This window comes from Homo sapiens, chromosome 5, assembly GCF_000001405.40.
Source record: "Homo sapiens chromosome 5, GRCh38.p14 Primary Assembly".
Classification (NCBI taxonomy): Eukaryota; Metazoa; Chordata; class Mammalia; order Primates; family Hominidae; genus Homo; species Homo sapiens.
Window position 1 is genome coordinate 90,551,056 of NC_000005.10, and position 15,500 is coordinate 90,566,555.

At 39.3% G+C, this 15,500-nt stretch overlaps 1 protein-coding gene across 14 annotated transcripts in view, besides 4 other annotated features; it reads left to right on the forward strand.

Moving 5' to 3' along the window:
- Positions 3,210 to 4,010: an enhancer, noted in NCBI's record as "NANOG hESC enhancer chr5:89850082-89850882 (GRCh37/hg19 assembly coordinates)". NCBI's record gives its function as "activates a minimal SCP1, AML or CMV promoter by ChIP-STARR-seq in naive H9 embryonic stem cells {active_cell/tissue: H9 hESC(naive)}" and the evidence as "EXISTENCE:reporter gene assay evidence [ECO:0000049][PMID:30033119]".
- Positions 6,362 to 6,863: an enhancer, noted in NCBI's record as "NANOG hESC enhancer chr5:89853234-89853735 (GRCh37/hg19 assembly coordinates)". NCBI's record gives its function as "activates a minimal SCP1, AML or CMV promoter by ChIP-STARR-seq in naive H9 embryonic stem cells {active_cell/tissue: H9 hESC(naive)}" and the evidence as "EXISTENCE:reporter gene assay evidence [ECO:0000049][PMID:30033119]".
- Positions 7,527 to 7,636: a silencer, noted in NCBI's record as "silent region_16169". NCBI's record gives its function as "represses an Ori minimal core promoter by ATAC-STARR-seq in GM12878 lymphoblastoid cells {active_cell/tissue: GM12878}" and the evidence as "EXISTENCE:reporter gene assay evidence [ECO:0000049][PMID:35858748]".
- Positions 7,742 to 15,500, forward strand: part of ADGRV1 (adhesion G protein-coupled receptor V1) — a 605,641-nt gene continuing 597,882 nt past the window's right edge. For 13 of the 14 annotated variants that reach the window (NR_003149.2, XM_017009963.3, XM_017009969.3 and 10 more), the window contains exon 1: positions 7,742 to 7,862. Coding sequence is in view for 13 of the 14 variants with exons in the window: in XM_017009963.3 (XP_016865452.1) it covers positions 7,841 to 7,862 (22 nt within the window). In the remaining variant the exon portion in view is untranslated. Of the gene's footprint in view, positions 7,863 to 8,002; positions 8,140 to 15,500 lie in introns of those variants that run through there. The other variant, XM_017009965.2, reaches the window with a different exon arrangement.
- Positions 7,847 to 7,966: a silencer, noted in NCBI's record as "silent region_16170". NCBI's record gives its function as "represses an Ori minimal core promoter by ATAC-STARR-seq in GM12878 lymphoblastoid cells {active_cell/tissue: GM12878}" and the evidence as "EXISTENCE:reporter gene assay evidence [ECO:0000049][PMID:35858748]".

Consider the following 15,500-nt stretch of genomic DNA (forward strand, 5'->3'; position numbering starts at 1 on the left):
TTTCAATCTCCTCATAAAGTACATGTTTTCTTATGCAGTCCTCATTGGAGAGACAGCTCCAGGAGCACCAGTCACATAGATTTCATGTAAATGGTAATTACGTGAACAAGAGTTGCACAACTCCTGCACCCATGAAGGGACTGACATGGACAGGCATGGCCCTAAGCCATAAGGATGTCAAACCCCAAGGAAACTCAGTCCCCTTCCGTTAGCTGCCACACTGGAATTCATATGACTTTGATGTTAGACCCACAGTAAGGCTTTAATACTTCTTTAAAACAGCACTTCCAAATTGTATTTTGAATGTTAATTGGAATAAGACTGAAAAAAATGTTTCTATCTTGCTATTTTATAAATAAATTTGTGAAACAGCAAGTTAAACAAATTTAAACTGATTTTATGACAGTACTCATATTTTAATATTTTATTAAATTATTATTTTAATGATTTTCTAAGAATGTTTCCCACATTTGTGGTTTGAGGCTTTTGCCCTTTGCAAAATTGGGGAACTGAAATTTATAGTAACTTTTTTTTTTTTGAAGTGGAGTGTCGCTCTGTTGCCCAGGATGGAGTGCAGTGGCAAAATCTCAACTCACTGCAACTTCTGCCTCCAAGGTTCCAGCAATCCTCCTGCCTCAGCCTCCCGAATAGCTGGGACTACAGGGACATGCTACCACGCCCGCCTAATTTTTGTCTTTTTAATAGAGACAACGTTTTGCCATGTTGGCCAAACTGTTCTTGAACTCTTGACTTCAGGTGATCTGCCTGCCTCGGCCTCCCAAAGAGCTGGGATTACAGGTGTGAGCCACGGCGTCCCTCTCCATAGCAACATTTTTAGAAATAGTGAGACAACTGGTTTACTGAGGAATTTTAATTCAGTGGGGTTCAACATGAATCAGCATTGTGATCTCCCATATCTTCTGTAGGTGTCCTACATTCTTTCTCACTGGGTAGCAGATCCCTTGGGCAGATTTCACAACTGCAATATAATTTAAAGCACCAATCTCAAACCATATTTAAAGCTTTCTCCTCCAAGAGACCAATTTGAAGAGAGAGAGAGACAGAGAGTGAGAGAGAGAGAGAGACTGTGTATGGTGATTCTGGTTTTAGGAAGCCCCTTTTCTACCTGTTCCTTTTCAAAGCCTAACTCTTCTGGATACTGAGGGAAAATAGGAAAAGGACAAACATCCTTTTATTTAACATGCTTATAGGAACAGTGCCTTTCTTTAGGGTTGTGGTTGCTTCTCTTGATAACAGACTAGCTCCTGCCTGTGTGACCAGCATACTAACTTTCCCAAAAGCACACAGGTAAGTTCGGTTGGCTTCTGCGAGCCTAACCCATAGTATGGTTGCTTGAAGTATGTTCTTCCTTAACTACCTCCTTCAGCTATTGCCCAGAAGTACACAGTCTCTTATTCCTGGGATCTTCCTGCTGCATAGGCTGTTCTCTTGTCAGGTATTGGCAATATTTTGCTTATGAGCAGCTTACATAGTATCACAATTCATGGGAGATCTATACATCTTTGCACAAAGGTATGAGTGAGGCTTCTCCCTTGCAGTCCTTCTCTGGGTCCTACCATCTTTCTTTCTTAAATTCTCTTTCCTCTTAGTGGTAGGCTTAGGGCAGATCAATAAGGTATTGACATCCAATGAGAGAATGAGTTGCTGTTTCTCACTCTCTAATACAGTCTCCAATCTCTACCACAAATTTTCTGGACAAGAGAGAAAAGCCAGAACCTCCCCACTAGGCTAACTACTTATGACTGCCTCTTTCCTTTTTCCCTTCTTCTTGGGGTGACTATGGAGGCAGGTAATTGTCCTATATTCAATCCTTTCACCTCTAAGAAAGCTCTGGAAGTAGATTCTGTTCCGAATGGTTGGCAGATTTCTTTAGAAGTCATGTACTTGTTTCTTTGGTCCCAACCTGTACCTAATCACCAGTTCCAGGGGAGCAGAAGATGCCTCATTTAATGCATTGGTTTATAATATCATACAATGTTCATAGCAGTTGGACACGAAGTACCAGTGGGTGCAGATGCTCATTATACTTGTTTGAATTTTTTTAGAGGTTGAGAATGGGGAATTTGGCATAAGTCTGGTAAGAGTCAGAATTTTAGATCAGATTAAGCAAGAAGTTAACCAGAATCTGGATGTATAGCAGGTTTGAGAGTCTGAGAGTCAGGTGAAAATATTGATCAGAAACTAGGCAGAGAAAGAAGAAACAGAATATTACAAAAATGAAGACCTAGAACAGAACAGTGCAGATTTTTTTTTTTGCAAAGAATCAGAGATAGAATATATTTAACATGTAACACGCAGAGGAACCTTGTGGGACAAGCCAGCAAATTCTGCTACAGAAAGCTTCAGCCAGCAAATTCTGCTACAGAAAGCTTCTTGTGGGCTGGGACCATGTCCTTATTCACCTTTCCATCTCTGAGGCATTATGCAATATTGGCACTTAGTAGATGTTTGTTGAATGAGTTAGTCAATTTAGGACAGATACCAGTATCAAAAAAGGACTTGATAATTAAGTAATTTTTGCTTCTGCATAGAGTAGGCATTGGTACACTATGACCCTTTCTGACTGCCACTTTTTGTAGATATTTTATTAGCACACAGCCAGGCTCATATGTTTACCTATTGTTTTTGGATCCATTCACACTACAATGAATGACAAGGCTGAATAGTTGCCACAGAGACTATGTGGCCTATGAAACTGAACTGAAATACTTATTATCTGGCTCTTTATATTAAAGGTTTCCTGATGTCTAGGCATACAGGTTTAAAACTGTTTTTACATGTTTCCTGCTGACTCAGTTATAGCATGGCTAACCCAGGTCCTACAGGTAGAGGTGATTGGGAACACCTGGCTGTTCTGTCAGAAGTATAACAGTAAGTCCCAGAGCTGAAACAGGATGGGTGTGAGAGTTCTCTCTGAGCCAAGAGGGAAGTCATCTTGATTCAAACAAGTAATCTCTTCCCTCCTTTCTTTGAATCATCTTTCCTTATATATCTCTGATAGAACTGTTCACACTGTACTTAGAATTTATGTCTTCTTTCTCCTATTGAAGTGGACTAGATGAAGGCAGAGATCATATTTTGCTCATGTTCATATTCTGAGTGTCTAATGATGCTTCTGAATAAATAGGTACTCATTTAAAATATGCATTGCAGCTAGCTGGATTATGATACTATTGGAAGAAGAGGAAAAGCAAGGTCTGGCAGCTTAGAGGCAGCAGGTTATTAAGTATTATTAAGCAAGAGATCAATTAAATGAAAATCAGTTTGGAGCAGAGTGTCTGAGTGAGTGGCAGTACCAACACATAGCTCTGTGTGAAAGACTGTTTAGGAACTTCCTCAGACTTTTGGAGGCTTTTTATTTCCAAAAGCCCAAGAATATTCATCTTTTTCTGACACTGGAGCAGATTCTCAGGCTGAAAGTAGTCTTTGTTGTTAAACGGATTCTCTGATCCCTTTGGGACAGGAAATTCTTTCCTTTGACTTACAAATTCTGAATCAGGTTCTGACAATGGGGCCTCCTTCTCACTTATTTTCCCAATCATATCGCTCATTTAAAGAATGTTAAGAGCCTATTTATGTGCCTGACTCTGAGATAACTTGGATTTAAGTTCTGTTTGTTTTTTCATTATTGCTACAGTTTGGACATTTGACCCCTCCAAACCTCATGTTGAAGTCCAATCCCCAGTGTTGGAGTTGGGGCCTAATGGGAGGTATTTGGATCCACCAGGAGGTGGATCCTTCATGAATAGCTTGGTGCTGTCCATGAGTGAATTCTTGCTCTATTAGTTGCCGAGACAACTGGTTGTTAAAAAGAACCTGGTACTTCCCAGCTCTCTCTCTGGCTTCCTCTCTTGACATATGAGTTCTGCACCTGCCAGCTCTGCTTTACCTTCCACCATGAGTGGAAGCACCTGAAGCCCTCACCAGACGCAGATTCTGGTACCATGGTTCTTGTACAACCTGCAGAACTGTGAGCCAAATAAACCTCTTTTCTTTATTAATTATCCAGCCTCAGGTATTCCTTTAAAGCAATGCAAAAATGGATGAAGACAATTATAGAGTTCTAAAATGATAAACTAAAATCTATGGAGAATGTTACTACATATTAGTGTGCAAATGCAGTGGGGTTGGGGGACTGTTGATGTGACTGGGTGCCTTATTTTATCTTTAGATTCTAGGTGGGTCTGAACTTAAGAGTGGGGAGAGAAAGAGGAGTTCAAGTCCGTGGCTCCTGACAATCACTACTTTTTCTTTTCCTATCTGGGACCTAGGGCCCAAACAGAAAAAGCCTTTAAAGGCAGATTCGGGTACTCTCGAAGTATTATCCTACTTTTACTTTTGGGGGGTAAGAGAGAGTAGATATTGCCTGAACTTGATTTTGCTGCTTTGGTGAAATTCCTTTACGCATGCCTAAACTTAGATATGTGAAACCTAGGATATAAAAAAATACCATTTTCAAGGGAATATAAAGATCTTTTCACAAGATTTATAAGGTTTACTTAGTATGCAAGACTAATTAAATTGGAATAGGAAGGAAAATTGTATGACATCAGTACTTTTCTTATTGGGTTTAAGAAAACTAATTTATCTTTACTGTGTGAAATTTGGAGCTACTGGGTTGATTTTGATGAAGATTACTGTAGGAGAAAAGGCTTACATTCTACCATTGTTGCTTTTAGGCAGAATTGGGAATTGGGCTTTGTCTTTAGAACCTTAAGCTTTCCTTTCAACACCCTTATCTCTCAGTGGCACCTGACACCTCCCACCTCCAGGTGCCTAGTAATGCTTTTCCTTTCTTTTTTTCTTTCTTTCTTTTTAAATCAAAGCCTTTGAAGAACAAAGGATCTCTAAGATGTAATGATGGATGAGGTTTAAAGTATCTCTGATTCAGGCATATTTGTATTTTACATGGGATCAAGTCTTATGTTTTGTAAGGTTGGATTGTGAAATATAAAGAAATGAAAAATGGGCTCTGGGAAACTTTTTAATATGACAGGCTTTCAGGCCCTTCCTTCCTTTTCCTTCCTCCCTTCCTTCCATCCCTCCCTTCTTACCTCTTCCCTCCCTCCCTTCCTCCTTTCCTTCCTTCCTTCATGTACTGAGTTTCTACTATATCCCAGAGACTATTCTAGCTACTGAGTATAGAGCAGCAAATGACAGAGACATGCAAGCTACCCCCATGCAGCTTTCATTTTTATGGGGAGACAAAAACACCTAAATATCTTAATAAGTAAATGGGATATTTATTAGGGATAAGTTATAGAAATTACATAGAAGAGGGTAGTGGCTGAGAGTGGCGGTGAAAGTTATCAGGGCAGGTGCTTCCAAGGAAGAGATAGTTGAGCTACCCCTCAAATGAGGTCTATGATAGAAAGAGCCAGCCATATGAAGCTCTGCAGAAGCAGTGTGCCTGGCAGAGGAAAAAGCTTGTGCAAAGTCTTGGAGGCAGGAATGATTTTGCTGTGGTTGAGACAAAGAAAGAAGCGTCAGTGTGATAGGAATACAGTGAAATGGAGGGAAAGTGGTACTAGATGAGGCTGGAGAAGAAAAGAGAAATAGAATTATGTGAGGTCTCTTGGTCCATGTTAAGAAGTTTGGATTTAAGTTCAATGAGCATTTGTTTAATAATTTCAGCATTTGAGAGTATCTACACTACTTTGTCAAGTATTTGTACCACAATTACCAACTATGTTGTTTCTTGTGGTTTTATTCTTCAAAGCAAAGCTTTTTGGAGAAGCCTTCAGCAATCCATACACTCTCTTCTTCCTAGAGATTTCTAGCACTTGAGTGGCTTGTTTTTTGCATGGCATATTCTGCTTTTCGGTTGATTAACTTTCACCCCAGAAAGAGTGCAAATTAATAAACTTAGGGTGGTTTTAGAGATCACTGTTTTTCCCACAGTGCCTTACAGAGTCTTCTGCTTCCTAAACACTTAGTAATAATTGTTAATTACCTAGTTCCCTGAGGTAGATTGGGTGAGGGTGTAAATTTTCATTTACTCATCACAGTGCCTAGGGTAATGTCATACACAAAGTAAATATGCAAGCTGAGGAAGTCCAGTTGTGGGGAATGTGTTTAATCATGGGACTTGGTGAAACAAAAATTAAGATGGAATATTTGGTTGGTAGACGTTGACTTTGCCAGGGTATTTAGCCACAAATAAAGCCTTTACAAACGCTAATAAAACAACACTGTGGGTTGAATATACATTTTAGTAAGACGTTTTAAATAATCAGGAAGAAAACATTTTTCTGTTATTGTTTTCTGTTTTACATGTGACTACATGGATAATTGATTCACAGTTTTCACTTTAAGTTGCTTTGAAGTTACCGTTCATATATGGCAGGATTTAGTAAGCATGTCTGTCTGTGTCTACTCCGTTGATATGCTCGTGGATTTAAAGCCTCCAGACCCAGGTCCGACCTTTGTTGTTGAGCCTCACAGGAAAGCTGTTCAATCTCCTGGATCACCTAGGTTGCTATTCTCCCCACCTTTTGCAGCGCCTTGATGTGTCATTTGCATTCCCACACGGTTTCTGTATAAGAATCATTTAGTCTCAACAAACTTGCCGTTTGATACCCAGCTGTTTGTTGAGTATTGCAGCTTTCAGAGGAGGTGCTCAGCAACAGCTCATAATAACGCTAAATGAGTGCCCCTGGACGGCAGTATGTAACACAAAGTATCTAGTTATTCCTATTCCAATTAAGAAGAGTACTTGTGTGAGCTGCATTTAAAATGAGGAGGCTGAGAACCCATTTTTTTTTTCTATAAAAAGCGGTGAGTTGCTGTGGGAGTGCTAATCTTTCTCTTTGCTCCCAGTTTGAAACTTCCGTGATTCTAATAATGCTGCATTTGCTTTAAAAATCTCTGGTGCAGGCGGGGATGTGCACATTGCTGATGGTATGGTCTGACATTGAGCCTTTACCTTTGTGTACTGGGAAAGATAAGCAACATTTGCTGAGGGTTTACCACGTGCCAGGTGTACTGTAAAGAGTTGCACTTCACACAGTCTCATTCATCTACTCCTAACAGCCTTATGAGTAATTAATAATCCTATTTTATAAATGAGGAGACAGACAATTTATCCCAGATGTTGACCTAAATCCCTGCTTTGTAAGTTCAGTTGAGGGTAGATCCTTCCTTTCTAATATTTCATCAATTTATGCTCAAATTCTTATGGGGTAAACTTAGGGAGAGCTTCGGTAAACGTGAAACGAAACATTCTCTTAGGAACGAAAAAAGACTCAGTAAATGGGTTTTTTTTCCCTGAAAGAAAACTAGGAATTGCTTACAGTGGAGTACCCAGGGCAGTGTGCACCACTGTCCATGGTGAGTTCCTTGTGCCGAAGGGGGCAACTAGAAAGTTTAGCCAAAGGAGACGATTAGAAAGCACTGACCGCGCACTTACATTGGGACGCCCAGGCAGAGGCAAGACTCGCGCGCTCCTAAGCCGAGGCAGGTCAGCCTAGGCGCCTGGCTGCTGGAAGAGTCCATTAGGGATGGCCAAGGCAGGGTGTTCCCGACGCCAGAGCGCGGACCTGGCTGCCCGCTGCGGAGAGCAGAGTGCGCAGCCCGGGGCGGCCACCCCCGCTCCGCTGGTCAGGTGAGCGCTGCCCCGGGAGCCATGGGTCCTATTGGAGCAGAGCGAGGATGCAGAGGGAGGAGGCAAGGGAGGGGGAGAAAGGGGAGGAGGATGGAGCCCTCCTCCTGATCCTGTAGTGGTAGTAAGAATCAGCAGCGCGGGCAAGGAGTACGGACGGGAGTCAGAGGCAGAGCGAGGGTGTGTGGAGGGCCGGCGGGGACCGCCGGGAGCGCGCGGATGTCGGTGTTCCTGGGGCCAGGTAGGCTATGGCTGAGGGGTGGTGCTGCGAGCATCGCTGAGCCCCAGGGGAGCGCCTCAGCATCAGCACCTGTTGCTGCAGGTGGGCGGCGAGGGCGGCGCGGAGGGCGGGCCACAGCCGGGCCCAGGGAGGCTGGGCGCGCACCCGGCGCCGCGGCCTGCGGGTAATGGGGCATAGCTGCCCGCGTCGGTTCTGTCCAAGGCTGCGGTTTTGCAGGGAGCGTTAGGTTCCTGCACCCCCTACCCGCCCTTTCCAAAGATGTCTGATCTCAAAGAAGGTGAGAAGTGAATGAGCAGAGTGAAGAGTTTATTTTCTTCTTTTTCTGCCTGTTTGAAACCGGAACCCTACCTAGCTTTGATTTTAAAGTCTTGCTGAAAAATAACAGACCAAGAACGGTGCGCCATAGGTAATAATTGATAATGGGAAGGGTGAGATAAACTTAAGGAGACTTGTTTGTGTTCCAAAATAACCACTGCGTCGAAGAATTTCAGTGAAATATATTGATTTTAGGGAGCTTGGGATTAACATGGAGCTATAGAATAATATGTATATGTATATATATTTAAAAACTTACAAATTTTTAATTTTAAAAACTGTCTCAAAATTGATTTTTTTCTTAAAATCAAGAAATTATAGCAGTGTTCGTCAGGGGAAAATTGATTTTAAGGTGTGTTAACTTATCCTATGTAACTTGTTTTAAACCAACTTTTCCCACTTCATGAAATCCACAGCCTTTAAAATGTGTGTAATGTATTTACTAGTATGCTATACACTCTTTTAGAAACTGATATCAAATTTTAAAGATGCATAATTACTGAGAATTAGGATGAAAGTCAAAAATATACCTTAACTCATACAGCATGATTAGAAATTCTTACTGAAGTTATGATTACTTTAAATTACTAAAGTGTTTTTTCTCCCTTTGTGTGTCATTTATCAAAATAATTAGATCAAACAACAACAACAACAAAAACCCCCAAAAGATCATAAGGAAGAGAAAAAATGATATCTTAGGCAGGATACAAATGAGCACCAATAATTTATTCTGGGTTAATTTCATAGAGTAAGTGGCGAACTATTCCGCCTATATAATTTGAGAAAAATGTAGGTTACAGGGAGATGTCAAATAGACTCTGAACTGTGTTATAATAAAATATATTAAATATATGTGATTAGGTATAATTTTCTGGCTCTGCCATTAACACACAATGACTTCGGACATTCACCCATCCTTCCAGGCATTAGTTTCTTCATTTATAAAATAAAGTAATTGGACTAGGTGATTGCAAAGGTTTATTTCAGCTAAAAATATTATATCTCTCAAATTATTACTTTTAGAAGAAGTAACCAAGATACACAGACTTTAAAAATTTACAACTGAAGTACGACTGAATCCTATCTCCATTTTCTCATTTCCATGATGAATAAATATAGCAGTCACTCCTTAATGAATGCCTGCTATGTAGTGAATTCTTAGAAACCCTTTACATAGGTTATCTTATTTAACACAATACCACCATAAATTGAATAGTAGTATATCCCAATTTATAGATAATGATACTGAAGAATGAAAAGTTTAAGCTCCTTGCCCAGAGTTCCAGTTTATAAGAACTGGGTCAAATATTTTTTCCAAATGCTCTTAGGACCTATACTATACTGAATGGGATGATTAAAAGCTAAAATTGCCTATAAACTGAAGTAATCTTGGACTACTATAAGAGTCTATAATGGGGCAAAGGTAAATTATGTAACACTGAGTCTTCATACCATTAAATATATAAGTGCTGTATCAGTCTCCATTTATTATATCTTAAAAAGTTACATATTTATGCTGTATATTTATTAATTGAATGCCAGTTGTATTCTCAGAAAGTGATCATATGAGATATATTTGTAACACAAATGGTTTTATGGTAATAAATATAACTGCTAGAAAAAATGTGAGAGGGCAGAAGCTAGTATTAAGCAAATGCTGGTATTAAGTATGTCAGATGTCTTTCTACTTGAAGGTACTCATGCTTGAGACAAAAATGCTTACACCCAAGGGAAAAGGGTGTTCAGAGTAGAATTAGCTGTGACTAAACTCTTTTGTTCATATCCTATGATGAATCATAATAGTATGTCACATTTATTGAATATACGTTGTATGCCAGGAATTCTCTTAAGCCCTTTATTAGTATAATTTTATATTGGATCATGAATTAAATTGTATTATCCTGATTTGCAAATGAAGAAACCGAGGCAGAGAGATCTATGCCCTGGGAGGACCCACAAAAAAATACTTTTTATCTTAGATTAAATGTGTGATCGTTCATTGTTCTGAAATTCTTAGGCTGTGAATGTAACATGAAATCTTGAAGCACTGGAAGGAGACTTGGAGCCAAACTAAACCAACCTCTTTATTTTATATTTGAGGTAAAAGAGACCTAGAACAGTTAAGAGACGCACTTAAGGCCACATATTTTAGTCACCTATACATTCTCATAAACTATTAGGTAAGAAGTATCCTAATGGGTAAACTTGGTTATTAATTGTTTGATTTATTGTCACGCAAACAAATGCCACCTCATGCCGTTTCTTATATTGCTGCCCTACTTTTATTTAAAATTTCAAGGTTGCCCCAATTAGGATGCAAAATCCTTGAAGACAGTGATTGTATTATATATTTCTCTTATATAGTATCTATAGGGTTCAGCATAGTGGTTAACCTATTGAATAAGTTGCTTTGTTGCCTGTTTGCCTTTGATAAGTCATTATTTTATGCACCAGGTCTGAAATCTACACAGTGGAAGCACAATGCCATCACCATTTTTCACTTCATGTAGAGGGCAACTAGACAATTTATGATGCTTACAAAGTGTAATGAGCTTCTTAGATAATTATTTAATTTGGTTATAAAATGCAGTGTGTTACCATGGAGAGATTTGGATGTGTATTTCCCTGATTTTGGGGGGACAAATTGCATAGCTAAGTATCACACACAGTTCAATTTACCTCCCCACCACTCTGTTCTTTTGATTTGGAAATAACTTTTTTTTCTGAGTGCAAAGATAATGCAAAGTCATGCAGGAAATTCAGACAGTAAAGAAATAATGAAAAAATCACCAGAACCTCCCCAGTCTAAAGGTTTTGGTGAACAGCCAGCCAGAGAGGTCTTTCTTCTCTTAACTCCTGTCGAATCAGGGTGAGAGCTGAATTATTTATTGAAACCATTTACAGTAAAGTTCTATTTAGTTTTAGTATTCCATTACTCCTGGGCAGTTCAGACTTTATGTAAATAAAGATATTTGTTGAGCAATGAAGATAAACATACTACTAATAAACTAGAGTCTACTCCATGTAGAATGGAGTAGTACAGAAAGTTGATTTCCTCACATCGTATGCCTAATTTTTTCCTTTCACAAGGTAGGTTTGGGAGCACAGGGAGCATCTTTTGCATGCATGGAGGGTTCTCCAATATGCCAGGATCTTAGGCCACACATGAAGCCACAGCACCCCAGCTCTGTTGCCCTGAGTGAGGTGTGGCAGAGGAGGAGAAGGGTGGAGCTGAGGCACAAGCGGCTGTGGTAATACAAAGGCTGTGTTTTCCGATTCTACTGTGACACACTATACACTTAAAAATGTACCAGACCAAGTCCCTCCCCGAGCTGCTGGGCAGGTGGTCATGGGGCCCTTTTCTGGTGCAGTCACGCGTAAGTCTGGCTTTACCTCAAAGCCAGGGCAAGATGCTGATAGGGCATTTCTCATTCATTTATTCAGGATTCTGAAAACCTAGAATGGACCCTCTTTTATATTAAAGGGAAACACTGGCTGCTGGAATCATTGTCCATAAATGAGTCTTGAAGTAATACTCACAAAATTATTAAGTATAAAGAAAAGTTGGGGCATCTCTTTGAGAGAGACAATAGCTCTTTCTGTATGCATTCGGATGTAATTACATTGAAAATATTTGTTTTGAAGATTATGTTTTCTGGTTATTTTAATTTCATAAATCTATTTGTTATTCAAAACTTCTTTCCCTAGGCATATTTTCTTTGTTTATACTATACATTTGAGCAGAGAGATTTTTCATGCTTCACTTTATTAGGGGCTTAACATGGCTTTAATCCAACCATCTGTTCGCATCTTGGCACATCAGCATGTCTGAGGTGCTGGTAGGGGCCAAATAAATTTCCCACATTTTAAAGGTTAGGGAAAGAGCTACCTTTATGAATAGATTTCAAATGATTCTCAGCAAGACAATGGTATAGAAGTGGAGTAAAAATGCATTTCATTCTCTGAAGCACAAGGTCCCCTGTCTGTCTTCAGTTTTGCTGAAAGGCAATTAGCATTTCAACTAGCCAATTTGGTTACATGCAACGAAGTACTTGGGTTTATAATTTGCTGCTCTGTCTGAGGCTGTTGAGTGCTAGGTCTTATGTAATCCTTTCCAAGTAGCCTTCTCTCCAGCATAGTTATTGTTGCTGGTCTTAAATAACTAATCAACAGAGAGTTTTCCTTGCCTTCAACTGTAGGGTGCCATAGGGCAAGGAAAATGAAATACCAAGCAAATAAGGGGATGACTGTAATTATAAATAGTCATTATTGAAATGTGGCACAGGTTGAAAGACATACAATAGCTTCAAATAAAATGCAACTCCAAAAAGTCATTGTGTGCACTGTTAATGGTTTCTCATGCAGTATGCACAATAAGCATAGGGCATACATGCTGGGATTAATTCAGTTAACATGACTCAAAATTAACAAAGAAGGTGCAATTCCTTTATGCCAGAAAGAATTTTGTTGGGAATAGGTTTAAAAGAGAAAAGATTCTAAAGTGTTACAACAAATGAATAAGTGCTCTGAGGCATATTGTGGAAATAAAGGTTTTGTACTGTGTGCTAATTGAAAATAAGATTTTTGTCAGCTTCTTTAGTCGTGAATTTTGACAATTAGGTAGTATTAATATACTTCATGTATACACTCATATTTCTCTGAAGGAGCCACTGTATGGTATGGTAATCCTTTTGTTAGGATAATTAGGATGATATTTTCCTGTAATCCATGTCATGGACCAGCAATTCAGTGTAGCTCATCTTTTGGTGTAACACTGTTTTTGCATAGATGTACTTGTGTAATTATTTGGAGGTAAAATAGTACATTTTTCATTCTTCAAGTAATGTTTAACTGAAAGAAGGCATAATAGAAAGAAGTGTTTTAGATATGTCTTACAAGTGATCAGTATAATTTTGAGAACATATGTGAAAGAATTGATTTTCATTTATATTTCCAATCTGCGATTATAAAGCTTTTGTTACGGTTATAGTTAGAATCATTAGTTTTATTTAACTAATTTCAACAGTGTTGATGAGCAGGAATGAAATGAAGAGAGCTTGTTCCTTCTCTGGCAGACTAGTAAGCTAAGGTTGGAGAGTGTTCTGGAAAAAGTGGGACTTGATTGGGACTTTGAAAAATGGTGGAAGAGAGGGAGTGGAAAAAGGTAGAGAGGACTGGGACTAGCTTAGATTAAAGGTGCAGAAGCATGAATAATACAAGTGTTTTGTCCCAGACACGTATTAGATTAACCTGGCTGGAAATGTTGAAAGAAGAGAAAGAGATAGCTGGAAGTGCAGAGGTTTGATTGTTTTTTAAATTGATAGATAATTCACATATGAAAAACAATCACCTTTCAAAGTACACATTTCCATGGCGTTTAATATATATATATATTTTTTTTTTTTTTTTTTTGAGACGGAGTCTCGCTCTGTCGCCCAGGCTGGAGTGCAGTGGCGCGATCTCGGCTCACTGCAAGCTCCGCCTCCCGGGTTCACGCCATTCTCCTGCCTCAGCCTCCCGAGTAGCTGGGACTACAGGCGCCCGCCACTGCGCCCGGCTAATTTTTTGTATTTTTAGTAGAGACGGGGTTTCACCGTGTTAGCCAGGATGGTCTCGATCTCCTGACCTCGTGATCCGCCCGCCTCGGCCTCCCAAAGTGCTGGGATTACAGGCGTGAGCCACCGCGCCCGGCCGGCGTTTAATATATTTAAAAAGTTGTGGCCTGGGCGTGGTGGCTCACTCCCGTAATCCCAACACTTTGAAAGGCCAAGGTGGGCGGGTCACCTGAGGTCAGGAGTTTGAGACCAGCCTGACCAACATGGTGAAACCCTGTCTATACTAAAAATCCAAAAAAATTAGCTGGGCGTGTTGGCGGGCGCCTGTATTGCCAACTACTTGGGAGGCTGAGTCAAGAGAATCGTTTGAACGCGGGAGACAGAGGTTGCAGTGAGCTGAAATCCCGCCACTGCACTCCAGCCTGGGCAACAAGAGCAAAACTCCATCTCAAAAAAAAAGTTGTGCAACCATCACCACTGTCTATTCCAGAACATTTTCATCACCTCCAAAAGAAGCTCTCTACCCATTAGCTTTTGCTCTCTATCCCACCTTTCTCCACTGCCTTCCAATTCCTGGAAACCAGTAATCTATTTTCTATCTCTATAGATGTGCCTATTCTGGGCATTTTGTATAAATGGAATCATACAATATGTGGCCTTTTGTGTGTACTTTCACTTAGCATGATGTTTTAAAGATTCATCCATGTTGTACCATGTAGCAATACTTCAATCCTTTTGTAAATGCCAAATAATATTCCAGAGTATGGATATGCCACCTTTCATTTATGCATTTATAAATAGATGGGTGTTTGCATTGGTTTTACTTTTTGACTATTATAAATAATGCTGCTTTAAGCATTTGTATACAAGTTTTTTTTGTGCTGACATAAGTTTTTTGTTCTCGTAGTGGCCCATCTAGGAGTGGAATTGCTAGGTCATATTGTCACCCTGTGCTTCATTTTTTGAAGAATTTCCAGCTGTTTTCTAAAGTGTGTTTACCATTGTATATGCCCACCAGCAATGTATGAGAGTTTTGATTTCTCTCTGTCTTTTTATGTTAACCATCCTATTCGGTGTGAAGTGGTATCTCATTCGGGTTTTGATTTGTATTTCCTTAATGACTAATGATGTTGAGAACCTTTTCATATGCTTGTTGGTCATTTGTGTATCTCCTTTGGAGAAATTTCTATTCAGGTTTTTTGCCCATTTTAAAAATAGGATTTTGTTTTTGTTTTTGTTTTTTATTGAGTCATAAGAGTTCTTCGCATACTCTAGATACTAATCCCTTATCAGATATATCATTTGCAATTTTTTTTCATTGTGTGGGTTGTCTTTTTACTTTCTTGATGGTGTCCTGTGAAGCAAAATGTCTTTAATTTTGTTGAATTAATTTATTTAACTTTCCTTTGGTTGCTTATACTTTTGGTGTCACAGCTAAACAACTGTTGCCTGATACAAGGTCACAAAAATTTATACCCATGCTTTCATCTAAGAGTTTTATAGTTTAAGCTTTTACATTTAGGTTTTTATTCCATTTTGTGTTAATTTTTAATATGATATAAGCTTCCTTCATTTGCACATAGATATCCAATTATCCAGGTTCCATTTGCTGAATAAATCATTCTTTTTTCATTGAATTGGCTAGGCTTCACTGTCAAAAATTAATTGACTATAAATGTATGGTTTTATTTCTGGACTCAACTCTATTTTGTTGATCTAGTTTTCTGCCAGTACCTCACAGTCTTGATTATTTTACATATTTTGTTAA